At 37.9% G+C, this 17,397-nt stretch overlaps 1 protein-coding gene across 9 annotated transcripts in view, besides 1 other annotated feature; it reads left to right on the top strand.

The window, feature by feature from the left end:
• UBR2 (ubiquitin protein ligase E3 component n-recognin 2) overlaps positions 1 to 17,397 on the top strand; it is a 129,477-nt gene that overhangs the window by 33,211 nt on the left and 78,869 nt on the right. For all 9 annotated transcript variants that reach the window (XM_017010594.2, XM_011514438.3, NM_015255.3 and 6 more), the window contains exons 5-8: positions 6,349 to 6,479; positions 8,482 to 8,620; positions 9,350 to 9,412; positions 14,932 to 15,052. In XM_017010594.2, coding sequence (XP_016866083.1) covers positions 6,349 to 6,479; positions 8,482 to 8,620; positions 9,350 to 9,412; positions 14,932 to 15,052 — 454 coding nt within the window. The remainder of the gene's footprint in view (positions 1 to 6,348; positions 6,480 to 8,481; positions 8,621 to 9,349; positions 9,413 to 14,931; positions 15,053 to 17,397) is intronic.
• Positions 6,845 to 7,031: a silencer, noted in NCBI's record as "fragment chr6:42571822-42572008 (GRCh37/hg19 assembly coordinates)". NCBI's record gives its function as "represses an EF-1alpha promoter that drives an FKBP-Casp9 reporter gene in an ReSE screen in K562 erythroleukemia cells {active_cell/tissue: K562}" and the evidence as "EXISTENCE:reporter gene assay evidence [ECO:0000049][PMID:32094911]".

The raw sequence follows: 17,397 nt of genomic DNA on the forward strand, positions 1-17,397 counted from the left end.
TATACTCCTGGAACTAGACAAAGAATAAAGCCTTCCAAACTCTACCATTTAATTTATATTTAAGAGTTTAATTAAGGCCAGGCGCGGTGACTCATGCTGTAATCCCAGCCCTATGGGAGGTCGAGGTGGGCAGATCACTTGACCCCAGGAGTTCAAGACAAGCCTGGGCAACATGGCAAATCCCCGTCTATACAAAAATTACAAAAATTAGCCAGGTATGGTGGCGTGCACCTGTAGTCCCGGCTATTCAGGAGGCTGAGGTAAGGGGATCACCAAAGCCAGGGGAGATTGAGGATGCAGTGAGCCATGATTGTACCACTGCCCTCCAGCCTTGGGCGACAGAGTGAGACTCTGTCTCCAAAAAAAAAAAAAAGTTTAAGAGAAATGAAGTCAGCCAGGCGTGGTGGCTGACACCTGTAATCCCAGCACTTTGGGAGGCTGAGGCAGGCAGATCACCTGAGGTCAGGAGTTCGAGACCAGCTTGGTCTCGAACATGGAGAAACCCCGTCTCTACTAAAAATACAAAATTAGCCGGGCGTGGTGGCACATGCCTGTAATCCCAGCTACTTGGGAGGCTGAGGCAAGAGAATCGCTTGAACCCGAGAGGCAGAAGTTGTGGTGAGCCAAGATTGCGCCATTGCACTCCAGCCTGGACAAGAACGAAACTCCATCTCAAAAACCAAAAAAAAAAAGAGAAATGAAGTCTTCAAGGGTATTAAGATAGCATTTTGTTTAACATACCTGTTCCCAGTAACTGTTGAACATAATTTTTTTGTCATACATTTAGCCTACATCTTCCGAAAAAGCTGGGGGAAACCTGGTGATATAGAAATGCTATGCAGGAGTTCCACAGGTCTTCTCATCTCTTTGCATTTGGGGGTGAGATATTTCTTCATTGTATAGGACAGGGTTCAGCAAGCTCTGACTCCTACAAGCCAAATCTTGTCCACAACCTGTTCTTGTGTCTGTTTTTAAATAGTTGAAAAAAATCAACAGAATTGTATTTTGTGACATGAGAAAATTATATGAAATCCAAATTTTAGTGTCCATAAATAAAATGTTATTGAAGCACAGTCATGCTTAAATTTTAACGTAGTATTTGTAGTTGTTTTCCCATTACAAACAAAATTGAGTAGTTGCAGCAGAGACCCTATAGCCTGCTAAGACTAAAGTACTATCTCCTTTACAGAAAAAGTTTGTTGACCCTAGGTGTAGGCTACTGAAAGCATTGTGTTTCGCCTACTCAGTTCCCACTCCCTAGATGTCACTAGCATCTTCCACTACAGTGACAGAAAAAAATGCCCAGCTAGGTTTGCAAATGGCCCCTTGGGGTGTGGGAGTGAGTAGGGAGGGTGGTGAGATGTACCTCTCCCATTTGAGAACCAACACATAATATGTGGTATCTCCTTTGTTAGTCTTTATAGGAGTCCATAAGGAATTTCTCTTAGGTCTCTATATTAAGAAATGTTATGTTTCTCCTGGTGTGAATCTCATAACTGATTGTGTTTCCTTTTGTTGAGACTTTTGGAAAAAGAGCCAGATGGTTGGAAACAGCCTGCCTGTAGTAGCTGTGTGAAAATTTATGTGATCTCTATCTATATATAGATGTTACCTTGACTATGGTTTATTTTCCTATCTTTATTTTCATTTACCTGCTTTTTACATCTTTTTTAATATACCACTCTATTAGGTGCATTCTTTAAAAAAATTATTTTATTTTATTTTTAGAGACATGGTTTTTATTACTGTGCTGCCCAGGCTGGTCTTCAGCTCCTGAACTCAAGCAGAGTCATCCTGTCTCAGCCTCCCAAGTAGCTGGGATGTAGATGTATTCTTAAGTTGCTGTAAATCCTATTTGGAATTAGATTTAATTAAATAAGAAATATTAACTGAACAACAACCTAAGTGAAGATTTTTGTAATCTGAAATTTCACTCACAAATGCTGCTCCCATCTGTTTGAATTCAGATCAGTAATTATTAATAACTAGATGTTAATGCTGACTATTTGGTCTATCTCATTTAATTCCCAAAACAGCCTCATAAGATAGATAATGCTGTTACCAATATTTTATAAATAATTGAGTTTTAGGCTGAGGTGGAGGATCACTTTGAGCCCAGGAGTTTGAGGTTACAGTGAGGTATGAGCCTGGATGAGAGAGACCCTCTTAAAGAAAAGAAAAAAGAGAGAAACTTGAGTTTTAGAAAGATAAAAAAAACTTGCCCAAAGTGTCCCACATAGGAAATTATGGGACTGGGATTTAAACCTATGTAGTATAGACTCCAGTAATGATGCTCTTAACACAGTACCTTATACTGGTTTTAAAAAGCATTTTTAGCAGAATTATTGCATGGTTTGGGGTTTTGTTTGGGGGTTTTTTTTGTTGTTGTTGTTGTTATGCTTTTGTTTTTGTTTTGTTTTGTTTTGTTGAGATGAGGTCTTGCTCTGTTTCCCAGGCTGAAGTAGAGTGGTGCAATCATGGCTCACTGCAGCCTTGACCACATGGACTCAAGCGATTTCTCCCCCTTCAGCCTCCCCAGTAGCTGCGACCACAGGCACATACCCTGCTAGGCTGATCTCAAACTCCTGGGGTCAAGCAATTCTGCCTCTGCCTCTGAAAGTGCTGGGATTACAAGTGTGAGCCACCACGCCTAGCTAGAATTGTTTTTTTAAATGAAAATCTAATTTTAAAAAATAATAGAGCACATTAAAGTGGTATTAATAATAGATTTATTTTTTGTAAATTGAAACGTGTGTTATTGTTAGAAAGTCAGTTTATGAGATAATTGAGGTTGTTTTGATGACTGCAGCCTCTAGTTTATTTCTATATTTTTAGTTGGGCAGTATGGAGAAAATCCTCATTCATACCTACATTGCATATGATAACAGTTAAAATCTTTATTGTAATACATGCTTGCATTTTACAAATTCAAATATTACAGGAGTATACTGCATAAAAGATAAAGTTCTCCATAATTCCTACTGCCCTCTAAAATAACCACTAACAACCTTTTTAACAACATGCCTTGCATTCTTCTAGCTTGAAAGAATAGTAAATCAAAGCAGACTCACCAACAGATGAACATTCTGTAGCATAAATATAATCAAAGAGCTAAAATTATTAGTAATAATAGATAATACAATAGGATGTCATTTATTGTTCCAACTGATTTATGCTATGAAAAGGGCAATCTGAGCAGGAATGTCTTAGTCTTTCCTGACATTTAATTTACCATCATAACATTCGTAGACTTGTACAGCTGTAGCATCTTTTCAATGCAGAAATAATTCTTTATGATGAGTGACACATTTCTTAGAAGTTAAAATTTGTGTACGGAGATGGCAGAAGAATCTGTCTAGGCCTGCCTCAAACTGGGTTACTGTAGCAAAAAAAAAAAAAAAAAAAAAATTATCAGTTGGTGTTCCAATATGGAATGTAACACATTTTAGAGTGTATTTTTTCTGTTGCCCAGGCTTGGAGAAGTGTAGTGGCAAGATCATGGCTCACTTTAGCCTCCACCTGTCAGGCTCAAGCAGTCCTCCCACCTCAGCTTCCCAAGCATGCACCACTACTCTCTGCTAATTTTTAAATTTTTCTTGTAGAGATGAGGTCTCACTGTATTGCCCAGGCTGGTCTCAAACTCCTGGGCTCAAGCAGTCCTCCCACCTCGGCCTTGCAAAGTGCTGGGATTATAGGCATGAGCCACCATGTTCGGCCTAGAATATATTTTGGAACTGACATTTTAATTCAAATAGGACATCTCTACCATGCCCTGGGATTTTTGTAAAATAGAGTTTGGAAACTGTTGGTTAGGATTCTCAAGAATTGGTGGTTGTCTCTGTTCCAGGACCATTAAAGTTTTATAAACCCTGTTTATCAAACTCTTCAATCCTTAAATGTTTTTGTCTTATGGGCTATAACTGTAAGAAATGGAATGACTGTTTGGTGAGATAATAGTACCAGGAAAGCTGAATTTTGATTCCACTTTCTATTTTGGTGTAGTATGAGGTTCATATTATTATTAATACCTACTCTTGTTTGAATCCCCAGGAGGGACCAGCTCTGATTCTTTCTGTATACAAGTGATTTCACCATGTCAGTTATTTCTAAAGCCTCCATAACAAATAGTAATAAACCTTGCTAGCAGAAACAATAAATAAAAAACTTCGCTGGGCGCGGCTGCTCACACCTGTAATCCCAGCATTTTGGGAGGCCAAGGCAGGTGGATCACCTGAAGTCAGGGGTTTGAGACCAGCCTGACCAATATGGAGAAACCCTGTCTCTACTAAAAATACAAAATTAGCCAGGCATGGTGGCACATGCCTGGAATCCCAGCTACTCAGGAGGCTGAGGCAGGAGAATCGCTTGAACCCGGGAGGCGGACGTTACAGTGAGCCGAGATTGTGCCATTGCACTCCAGCCTGGGCGACAAGAGCGAAACTCTAGCTCAAAAAAAAAAAAAAAAACCTCAATGGGACATATAAAGCAGCCTGTATGAGAAGAGTTATAGGTAAAAGGTGCTATAAACATTTGAAAAATCTGCTTCTTACTGAGAAAAGGAAATTTACCTTCTTCAAGCTCTAGACCCATCTGTTTTAGGCATCTTTGTCCTTTTTTCTCCATTCTTTTTTTTTTCTTTTTTTTTTTTTTGATGGAGTTTTGCTCTGTTGCCCAGGCTGGAGTACAGTGGCACAATCTCGGTTCCCTGCAACCTCCGTCTCCTGGGTTCAAGCGATTCTCCTGCCTCAGCCTCCTAAGTAGCTGGGATTACAGGCACCACCACCACACTCAACTAACTTTTATATTTTTAGTAGAGATGAGGTTTCACCACATTGGCCAGGCTGGTCTTGAACTCCTGACCTCAGATGATCCATCCACCTCGGCCTCCCAAAGTGTTGGGATTACAGGCGTGAGCCACCGTGCCCGGCCAAGCCACCATGCCTGGCCCTTTTTTTTTTTTCTTCTTTTCTTTTCTTTTTGAGACAGAGTCTCGCTCTGTCACTCAGGCTGGAGTGCAGTGGTGCACAATCTCCACTCACTGCAAGCTCCGCCTCCTGGGTTCATGCCATTCTCCTGCCTCAGCCTCCCAAGTAGCAGGGACTACAGGCGCCCTCCACCACGCCCGGCTAATTTTTTGTATTTTTAGTAGAGACGGGGTTTCACTGTGTCAGCCAGGATGGTTTCAATCTCCTGACCTCGCGATCCGCCTGCATCAGCCTCACAAAGTGCTGGGATTACAGGCATGAGCCACTGCACCCGGCCGCCCATTCTTTTATTCCACCTTCTCCATTTGTTTTATATCAGTTCCATTAGGCTCATCTTTGGTGTGGGTATGCAAAAATGTTCTGTCTCCATATATATGTGTTTTTGTGTGTGTGTGTGTGTGTATATATACATTTACATTAATATATACAAATATATTTTATAAAATATATACTTTATAAAATGTAATTATATATTATAAGAATATTAAATACATATTTTATATTTTGCACTATGTTTTATTTTTATGCTGTGTGTGCGTGTGTGTGTGTGTGTGTGTATTTATTTTCAGGGATCTGCTGATTCCCATCCCATGATGTTGGAACATACTGCTATTTTAATTTGAGAAATGAAAATAATGCTACTTAGCCATTAAACTAAAGAGTTTAGATTTAAGATAAAGCATTAAGATGAAAGATAGTGCAAAACATTTTGCTAGCCTTGACTGAAAATTACCTTGATTAAACATAGCATAAAGTAATACTTTTTTACATTACCCTAGAAATTCAGTGACTCTCACTCTTACGTCTAGTGTATGAAGTTCCCTATTAACATGCATGCACGTCTCACCCTGCTGAGAGAAAGTAGACAAGAGAGTGCTTCTTACAACATCAGTGGGCAGTTTTCTGAAAGTCATGAGTTCTTACCTTTAAAACTGTCAAAATCAAGCTCTCTTTTATACCTATAAAACTCAATATTGCTTGCCCTTCCTAGGTAATAGTCCTTTGTGTATTCTAGAAATTGGGGGTTAGTAAGATACAAAGCTATAAAATTGGTTTGATGTTAAGTTTTTGAGATCGTGGAATACCATTCTAAAATGTTTAGATTTGTTCATTAGGCATTTGAGTGCCATTGAATATTTTGATTGAATTGATTCAATAACTGGGATTGTTCTGAACTAAAAATTTTAAGAAGCTTTATTTGGTAGGGTGGTAATGTATAGGATCAAATTCATTGAAGAGAAGCTGAAGCTGGAAGACCAGTCAACTTTTTACTATACTATTTTGAGGGATGGAAGCAGAATGAAAATTAATGTACATGATTGCCCTTTTTTTCTTTTTCTTTTTTTTCTGTTGTTTCTTTCAGGATCCTCTTGTTCATTTATCAGAAGATGTGATAGCAAGAACTTATAACATTTTTGCTATTACGTTTCGGTATGCAGTAGAAATATTAACCTGGGAAAAAGAAAGTGAATTGCCAGCAGATTTAGAGATGGTGTAAGTATAACCTGTTTATTCTTCATGTATGAAGAACTGCTAAATTTTAACTTTAACACAGCTAGTATAGGGCATAATCATTTTTTAATAATGAGTTTTTAGCAGAACAATAACCTCAATTTTATAGTTTTAAAACGTGATCCATTTAATTGGTGGAGATTTCTTCCTGTTTGGTTGGCTGGTTGGTTGATTAGTTGGTTTGTAGCCATATTTAAACTTTGTCATAGCTCTAGGACTGGTTTCAGGCATAACCAGTTTTCTCTTCTTTGATTGTATGATAAAATGATAGATTAACTTTACAACTTCACTTTTTGTTTTGTTTATTATATGTTAATATCATTATAGGAAATAAACTCTTTGATATAAATGAGGTTTCTGGTTTGAATACATGCTCAAATTCAATTTTAATCATTTTGATTCGAACTTTTAATAAAATGTATTCCACACTGTGCTTTTCTAGTGTACATCTACCATTTTTACTTAAATTATTGAAATTACAAACTTGTGGCCAGAGAGCTGGATTCTGCCACAGATATATTAAGATGAGGGCTTTATTTTCCTTGTTAGTGTGCTTGTCTCAAACAACCTTCTTTCTTACTTAGAAGTAAGACCAAGCTTGTTGGAATTAGTCATAGTTTAGAATGAATACAAGCTGGAATGAGGATCTGAGGGACATTGGTGCTGTTTCTTTTTTGCTTTCTCAATTGTGTTTCAGATAAAGTTGTAGGTTTTCTAATAAAATGAGGTGACTATACCTTTTTGGAAATGATGAAAATGACTTAGTACCTCATGATTTTTACTATAGTATTGTTGTCATATAGTATACTGTACTATACTATAACATCCTAGTCCAAATTAATTTCATTTTGGGACAGCATGGCCCCCTAACTGGACTGCCGTGTACACTCTTGCCCCGTACAATTCATTCTCTACACTGCATCAAAGTGAACTTTAAGGCAAATTCTGATTATATCTCCTATCAAATTTTTTATTGTCCTTAGGATGGCAAAAATCAAAATATAAGCTGGCTTGGCACAGTGGCTCATGCCTGTGATCCTAGCACTTTGGGAGGCCAAGGCAGGTAGATCACTTGAGCCCAGGAGTTGGAGACCAGCCTGGGCAGCATAGTAAGACCCCGCCTCTACAAAAAATTAAAAAATTAGCTGGGCAGGGTAGTGCATGCCTGTAGTCCTAGCTATTCATGAGGCTGAGGCAGGAGGATCAATTGAACCTGGGTGGTTGAGGCTGCAGTGAGCCAAGATTGTGCCACTGCACTCCAGCCTGGGCGACAGAGTGAGACCCTATCTCAAAAAAAAAACAAAAAACAAAAAAAACCATTATAAACTGTGCAAGATTTCTGTCTCTCTCCAGACCAGACTAGTGTCATACTAATCTCCCCCTTCTTCCTTGTGCTCCATCTCCCAGTATTTACCTTTGCCACCTTAGCACCTTTGCTTTCACCTGCCTCTAGCCCATGGTTTCTCAACCTTGGCAGTGTTGGAATTAGGGGCCAGATTAATTTTTTGTTATGGGGGCTGTCTGGTGAATTGCAAGATATTTAGCAGCATCCCTGGCTTCTACCCACTAGATGCCAGCAGCACCCAAAGCCCCAGTCTTGACAACCAGAAATGTCTCCAGATGTTGCCAAATGGTCAACTATGAGAGGTGGAGGGGAATTGCCCCCAGTTGAGAGCTACTGATAGCCAATTCTGACTTCAGGTCTCAGATTACTTCTCCAAGAGTTCTCTGAGCTCCCAGGCCTGTTATACCCTGCTCTACCTTCTTTTCTTGATAAAAACCTGTTTACACAGAGTCATATATGCAATATATATTTTCCCCACCAGACTGTAGTATCACAGAGCATAGGACCACAGATGAATTCTTTACAGATATGTGTCCAGTACCTAGCACATTGCATAGGACAAAGTAGTCTCTTAATAAGTCAGCCTGGAGCAAGATAATAAACAAATAGATAATATATCATGAATATTTTATCACACAGAGAGAAGAGTGACACCTACTATTGCATGCTGTTTAATGATGAGGTTCACACCTATGAACAAGTTATTTATACTCTTCAGAAAGCTGTTAACTGTACACAAAAAGAAGCTATTGGTTTTGCAACTACAGTAGATCGAGATGTAAGTAATTTTACCATGTTGATAATAAATTGAATTTTTACTATAGGTAAGTTACTATAGGTAACTGGAGAATTGAGTTAAAGATATATATATCTAGGCTTTTCTTAAAATTTCATTTGTCATGCCTGTAATCTCAGCACTTTGGGAGGCCAAGGCAGGCAGATCACGAGGTCAGGAGTTCGAGACCAGCCTGACTAACATGGTGAAACCCCATCTTTACTAAAAATACAAAAATTAGCCAGGTGTAGTGGCATGAGCCGGTAATCCCAGCTACTCAGGAGGCTGAGGCAGGAGAATTGCTTGAACCTGGGAGGCAGAGGTTGCAGTGAGCCGAGATTGCGCCATTGCACTCGAGCCTGGGCGACAAAGCGAGACTCCATCTCAAAAAAAAAAAAAATTTCATTTGAATATTGGCCCAAATGTATATTGGGTATAACTATAAGCTATTGCCAATAGAAAGTTTAAGAGAACATATAGTTATTAAAATGGAAATTATAGATGCCTAAAATAATAAATGTTTTGTTCAAGGAAATATTTATTAATGGCTTGGAAAAGTTAGCATAGCTTTGAAGGAAAATTTTAACTAACTTATCAATGAGTAGGATGAGCATTGTAAATATTGAAAATTGATCAGAATTGTTATATGCTTAAACATGTTTGTTTACTGGTTTAAAAGTTATTAATATTGAATACAATACTTTTACAGCTTAATTTTAAATATCTTTACAGGGGCGTAGGTCTGTTCGATATGGAGATTTTCAGTATTGTGAGCAAGCAAAATCAGTAATTGTGGTAAGTAATTTAAAAACATGCTTATATTATTTTTTATTAGTTTAAAACTAGCTTCATATTTCAGCATTTATGAACATGTCTTTCTGCTTTCTCAAATGAAAACCAAAAATTATGTTTAAAGATAATGTTTCTTAAATATTGCATTATTGTTTTATCTAGTTTTTTAAAGCTGTGTAGGATTGATATAGAAAATGAGTATTTAGATAAGATATATTCCCATTTCTCCATCAAAGCAGTCTTAGAATGTTTTTCGCTTTCTGTTTTGTTTTTAATTAGTAGAATTTTGTGTTACTTCTTAGAAATTTAAATGGCCTTAAGCACCATGATTATAATGCAAGCAAAGTTGTTTCTTGGTACCTTATGGCAAAATATATTCCATATCCTCATAGCAAGTAGTGTATCATCTTTCTAAAAGCACAAACTATTCTCCACATTTGGATTTATTTTTAGAAATTAGAATTTATTTTTCACCATTCCATGTAACTGAATTTTATGTAAATATTCTTTTTAAAAAATAATTTTATCTTTTTTTTTTTTTTCCGAATAGTCTCTGTTGCCCAGGCTGGAGTGCAGTGGTGCAATCTCGGCTCACTGCAACTTCCTCTGCCTCCTGGGTTCAAGTGATTCAGCCTCAGCCTTCCAAGTAACTGGGATTACAAGTGCACACAGCCACGCCCAGCTAATTTTTGTATTTCTAGTAGAGATGGGGTTTCACCATGTTATCCAGGCTGGTCTCAAACTCCTGGGCTCAAGTGATCCACCCACCTCAGACTCCCAAAGTGTTGGGATTACAGGTGTGAGCCACCACACCTCAAATTTCTTTTAAATATATAAAATAATATGGAGGCCCCTGTATTATTATCATTTTGTTGTTGTTGTTTGAGACAGAGTCTTACTCTGTCACCCAGGCTGGGGTTTAGTGGCATGATCTCCACTCACTGCAACCTCTGCCTCCTGGGTTCAAGCAGTTCTTGTGCCTCAGCCTCTTGAGTAGCTGGGAGGACAGGCATGTCCCACCACTCCCAGCTGGGAGGACAGGCATGTCCCACCACTCCCAGCTGTTTTTTTTTTTTTTTTTTTTTTAGTAGAGAAGGGGTTTCCCCCATTATCCTTTCTCCTTCCCTAGCAATAATTACTTTGCTTAATTTACTTTTTTCATTCTTGTGCGTTCCTTTATATTTCATATATTAAATATCCATCAACATTATATAGGGGTCTTTAAACATTATGTAACAAGATACATATTGAATGTATTACACTGCAGCTTGCCTTTTCATTTCAGTGTTGTTTTTAGGTTTATCTGTGTTGATAAGTGTTGCTGTAGTTCATTCATGTTTTAAACATTGTATAGTATTTCATGATGATTAAACCACAATTTATTTATTCTCCTGTTGATAGACAATTAGGATGTTTTCAGTTTTTTGCTGTGACAAATACTCCCGTTATGGGCATTATTTTGTCTCCTTTTTACATAGATACAAAAGTTTCCCTACGGTATATACCAAGAAATGGAATTTCTGAGTTTTTAGGGTATGGACATTCTCAGCTTTACTAGATTTTGCCTAGTTCATCTCCAAAACTGTGGTACTAATATACTTTCCCACCAGCAGTATATAAGAGGGCCTGTTTCTCCACATCTTTGTTAAAACTATATATTGTCAAATTTTTAAATTTTGCCAATCTGGGCCAGACACTGGGGCTCACATCTGTAATCCTGTAATCCTAGCATTTTGGAAAGCAGAGGCAAGAGGATCGCTTGAGGCCAAGAGTTTGGGACCAGCCTGGGCAACAGAGCAAGACCCCGACTCTACAAAAAAAAATTTAAAAAATTAGCCAGGAATGATGGTGCACACATGTAGTCCTAGCTACTCAGGAGGCTGAGGTAGAAGGATTGCCTGAGCCCAGGAGTCCAAGGGTATAGTGAGCTTTGATTACACGAGTACACTCTAGCCTGGGTGACAGAACAAGATCTTGTGTTAAGAAGAAAAAACAAAAAACAAAAAAAACTTGCCAATCTGATGTGTGTGAAATGGTAGTTCATCAGTTAAATTTGCATTTTCCTTGATTTTTAAGTATCTTATTTTATATTTGTTCTATTGGTCATTTAAGTTTTCTTTTTGGCAAATTTCCTATGCATATTCTTATTTTTTCTGTTGGATTGTCTTTTTCTTATTCATTTAAGTTTGTTGTGGTGCCTTTCATTGAGCAAAAACTTTAAATTTTAATGTAGCAAAAGATATATTTTTCTTTATAATTTGTATGTTTTATGACTTGTTTAAGAAATTCTTCCTTAATGTCTCAACATATTCAATTTAATAATGTATCAGAAACTGTACTTACAGATTATCAAGTAGGGAACAAACAATAAAATAGAAAATGGACAAAGGATATGAAAAGACAGATCATAACAGAAAATCTAGCTGGTCAATATACATGAAGTTAGAGTGATAAAATATCTTGAAGAGATGCAAAGACTGGGAATACATGCTTAACAATAAATTGCTACAGCATTTAGGGAAAACAGTCTAGTAACGTGTTAAAGCTTTACCTCACCTAGGAATTTATCTCATAGAAATACAAGTACCAGTAAGTGTGTATACAGTGTGTTCAGTACAGTACTGCTTTTTTTGTAGTCACAGAGGACTGGAGACAGAGACGATGAATGCCCTTCTCTGAAGGATGTTTTAATAAGTCCACACCACAGAATATTATGCAGTCATTAACAGAAAAAAAATCAATGAAAGCTAAGATGCACAAAAGCATGTGTAGTATTTGATTTTCATAAGTCAAACTAACAGATCTTTAGAAATGTGTGTGTAAATATGTGTAAATGGAGACCATATACAAAAACTTACTATGTTAATATATGTTATAGAGAAAGGATGGAGCAGAGAGTAAAAGGAGGATCCAAAAAAAAATAAAAAGGAGTAAATACATTCTTAAAAAGTGTTGGCCAAGCACATCGGCTCACTCCTGTAATCCCAGCATTTTGGGAGGCCAAGGCAGGCAGATTGCTTAAACCCAAGAGTTTGAGACCAGCCTAAGCAACATGGCAAAATCCCATTCCTACAAAAAAAAAAAATAATAACAAAAATTAGCCAGGCGTGGTGGCACACACCTGCAGTCCCAACTATTTGGGAAGCTAAGGTAAGAGGATTGCTTGAGCCCGGGAGGTTGAGGCTGCAGTGAGCTGTTATCAACACCATTGCATTCCAGCCTGGGCAACAGAGTGAAACCCTGTTACAAAAAAAAAAAAAGAAAAAAAAAGATGTTGATAGATTTGAATAGACATTTCTCTGGAGCAGATACACAAGCAGTTAAGATACCACCTCACACCTATTAGGATGGCTTCTGTCAAAAAAATAAATAAATATATAAATAAAAATGGATAGGCATGCACCTATAGTCTCAGCTACTCTGGAGGCTGAGGCAGGAGGATTGCTTGAGCCCAGGAGTTCAAGGCTGTAGTATGTGATCATGGTACCTGTGAATAGCCTCTGGGCAACATAGCAAGACTCCGTCTCTAAGGGAAAAAAAGTGTTGGCAAGGATATGGAGAAATTAAAACCTTTGTGCACTACTGGTAGGAAGGTAAAATGGTATAGCCACTGTGGGAAACAGTCCAGCAATTCCTCAAAACATTAAAAATAGAATTACCATGTGATCCAGCAATTTTGCTTCTAGGTATATATGCAAAATAATTGAAAACAGGTTTCAAAGAGATATTTTACACCCCCGTTCAAGCATCATAATTCACAATAGCCAAAAGGTAGCAGCAACCCAAGTGTCTGCTAATGAAGGAATGGAGAAACAAAATGTGGTATATACATGCAATGGTACATTACTCAGTCTTAAAAAGGAAGGAAGTTCTGATACATGCTACAACATGAATGGATCTTGAGAACATTATGCTAAGTGAAATAAGCCGGTAACAAAAAGATAAATAGCATATGATTCTACTTATATGACCTACCTAGCATTGTCATATCCATAGAAACAGAAAGAGACAGATGGTGGTTGCTAGGTGCTAGGGGAAGAAAGTAGCAGGGACTTGCTCTTTATTAGGTATTATGGCGAGTTTCACTTTTGCAAGATACAGAATTCTGGGGACTAGTTTCACAACAGTATGAATGTACTTAACAATACTGAACTGTACACGTAAAAATGGCTAAGATGAAAGTTTTATATGTATTTTACCTTTTTTTTTTTTTTGAGACGGAGTTTTGCTCTTGTTGCTCAGGTTGGAGTGCAATGGCGCGATCTCAGCTCACCGCAACCTTCACCTCCCAGGTTGAAGCGATTCTCCTGCCTCAGCCTCCTAAGTAGCTGGGATTACAGGCATGCTCCACCACGCTCGGCTAATTTTTGTATTTTTAGTAGAGACGGGGTTTCACCATGTTGGTGAGGCTGGTCTCGAACTCCTGACCTCAGGTGATCCGCCTGCCTCAGCCTTCCAAAGTGCTGGGATTACAGGTGTGAGCTACCGTGCCCAGCCATGATTTAAAAAAAAAAAAAAAAGTTGATAACATGGGCTGGGCGCGGTGGCTCACGCCTGTAATCCCAGCACTTTGGGAGGCCGAGGTGGGGGGATCACGAGATCAAGAGATCGAGACCATCCTGGCCAACATGGTGAAACCCTGTTTCTACTAAAAATACAAAAATTAGCCAAACGTGGTGGCGCATGCCTGTAGTCCCAGCTACTCGGGAAGCTGAGGCAGGAGAATTGCTTGAAACTGGGAGGCAGAGGTTACAGTGAGCAGAGATTGTGCTACTGCACTCCAGCCTGGTGACAGAGCTAGACTCCATCTCAAAAAAAAAAAAAAAGTTGATAACATCACATCTATGCAATAAATTATTTAAATAAGTACATAATTATATTGAGAAATTAAAGACATAAAGCAAGCTAAAACATTTAAATCATTTATTATTGGTACAGCAGATTTTCAAATATAGGACTAAAGATTCAGATTACTGGTCAGGCGCAGTGGCTCACACCTGTAATCCCAGTGCTTTGGGAGACTGAGGCAGGTGGATCACTTGAGGTCAGGAGTTCAAGACCAGCCTGGCTAACATAGTGAAACCCTGTCTCTACTAAAAATACAACAGTTAGCCAGGCGTCGTGGCGCATGTCTGTAGTCCCAGCTCCTTGGGAGGCTGAGGGCAGAAGAATCACTTGGACCCAAGAGGTGGAGGTTGCGGTGAGCCGAGATTGCTCCACTGCACTCCAGCCTGGGTGACAGAGCGAGACTCCACCTCAAAAAAAGAAAAAAAAAAAAAAAAGATTCAGATTACTCATAAACTAGCTGAACCTTCGTATTTTTTTGTATGAATCCTAAGATTTCCTCTAGAAAATTAGGATCTGAATCAAGTAAGGCAAGGAGAATGGTGTTTTTCTTACATCCATGAAAAAGTCTCCTATGATGATGATAGTGTGGTTATATTAAGTAAAAATAATAACTTTGTTCTGCCAATAGAATAGCTTTTTAAGTTAATTTTTAAATCTTGCCATTTCTTTTTAAGAGAAATACCAGTAGACAGACAAAGCCACTCAAAGTTCAAGTTATGCATTCGTCTATTGTCGCACATCAGAATTTTGGTTTGAAACTTTTGTCTTGGCTGGGAAGTATTATTGGATATTCAGGTAGGTTCATAAAAGTTCATGCCAATTGTCTATTAAAAATGAGCTCAATATGCTGTTGCAAAACTGTTTTGGGAAAACTATCAACTGGAATAATTTCCTGCTTTAATTTTACATTTTAAAATACCATTTCAAAATATCTTTATGCATAGAAGAAAACCTATGTTTAACAAATTTGGTCATACTGGATATTTTTTATATGCACACAAAGGATTCTCTATTCAAATAAATTCAGGAAACATTGGTTTAAACAATTGTAAAGGACATTAATATGCTAATGCAATGCAATGTACATTTCACAAACAATTTTTTTTTAAACTTTTTTTAGTGGAGCATTTTGCAGAACTCTTCTACTGAGTAAGCTGGAAAAATGCTGCTGTAAATAAAAACCTAAGTGATTAGCTGTTTAAACGATAAAACACTAATGTTGATTTATGTGATTTGACTCCAACAACTTTGGTTACCAATAATTTGCAACACTGAAAATTTGTAAATTGGAAGTTACCAATTTGCGTTTTTAAAAAATTTTTGGCCAGGTGCCATGGCTCATGCCTGTAATCCTAGCACTTTGGGAGGCCAAGGTGGGTGGATAACCTGAGGTCAGGAGTTCAAGACCAGCCTGACCAACATGGCAAAACCTCATCTCTACTAAAAATACAAAAATTAGCCAGGCGTGGTGGCATGTTCCTGTAATCCCAGCTACTCAGGAGGCTGAGGCAGGAGAATCACTTGAACCCAGGAAGCAGAGGTTGCAGTGAGCCAACATCACGCCACTTTGCTCCAGCCTGGGCAAAAGAGTGAAACTCTGTTTCAAAAAAAAAAAAATTCCAGAGTCTAGAAATTCGGTCATTTTTCTCTTTATGTAATGGTAAGAATTAAGAATCCTCACATCTGCAACCAAAAATACAAGCCTGGTGTGTAACACTAAAGGGTAAAACAGGGATAGATATAAGCTGTTATGCTATTCTTCAGGCAACACTGTGGATAAGTGACATTCAGATGTTTACTGTAAAGAAAAATTTGAATACATTTGTATTGAAGGGCTTTTAGAAAAGAGCATTACTACACAGAACTGAGAGTTGAAAATATGAAGGTGTGGAAGATTAAGAGAACGCGTTTACTTTAAAAGATAATTTAAAAGTTATCTTTCCAGGCTGACACGGTGGCCCACTCCTCTAGTCATAACACTCTGGGAGGCTGTGGTGGGACGATCCCTCGAGCCCAGGAGTTCATAGACCAGCCTGGGTAATATAGGGAGACCCCATCTCTATCTAAAATTTTTTTTAAAAGAAAATAAATATCTTTACAGTTATTTTTCTTAGTCCTATGTTCTTTATTTTGGTGTTTTCCATTGGATACCTGCATGCCAAGTGTTGTGCTACAGTATTACTGAAGAGTATAATGGAAGTAATGTCCTGCTGAAAATTTTCTTTGAGATATTAATCATTAATAATTTATATATTGCTATTTAATACTTACATAGGTCTTTAGCCTTTTAAAGGATTTCTGTTTGACAGCTTTTATAATTGAAAGTTATTCCATTTTTTTTTTAATTTTGCATGCTTGAAAAAGATGAAAACAGTGATTTAAATTATGAAGTATGGGGCCAGGTGCAGTGGCTCATGCTGGTAATCCCAGCACTTTGAGAGGCTAAGGCAAGTGGGTCACTTGAGCCCAAGAGTTCAAGACCAGCCTGGCCAACATGGTGTGAAACCCCGTCTGTACTAAAAATACAAAAATTAGCCAGGCGTGGTGGTGCATGCCTGTAATCCCAGGTACTTGGGAGGCTGAGGCACAGGAATTGCGTGAACCCAGGAGGCAGAGGTTGCAGTGAGCCAAGATCACATCACCGCACTGCAGCCTGGGTGACAGAGTAAGACTCTGTCTCCAAAAAAAAAAAAAAAAAAAAAAAAAAAACTATATATATATACACACACACACACACACACACACACACGCGCGCACATATATATACACACACACGTACATATATATGTATGCATGTACATATATGTGCGTATATGGGTATGTATATATGTGTATATGTGTATGTGTGTATGTATGTGTGTATATATGTGTGTATGTGTGTATATATGTATGTACGTACATACATACGTATGTATGTACGTACGTACATATATATGTATGTACGTACATATATATGTATGGAACAAATAAGTGTTAAAGCTTTGGTTATTTTAATGCTTATATTAATATTTGAAGAACGTTTCTGAAGTTTACATTTAAAAGGTTGTAGTAATATGTTTTCCAGGGTCTCACATGCCAAGTCCACAATAAGTTTTTGTTTAATGAATGAAGAATTTTTTCTGTAGCATTAATAAAATGCA

Source organism: Homo sapiens, chromosome 6 (genome assembly GCF_000001405.40).
Source record: "Homo sapiens chromosome 6, GRCh38.p14 Primary Assembly".
Classification (NCBI taxonomy): Eukaryota; Metazoa; Chordata; class Mammalia; order Primates; family Hominidae; genus Homo; species Homo sapiens.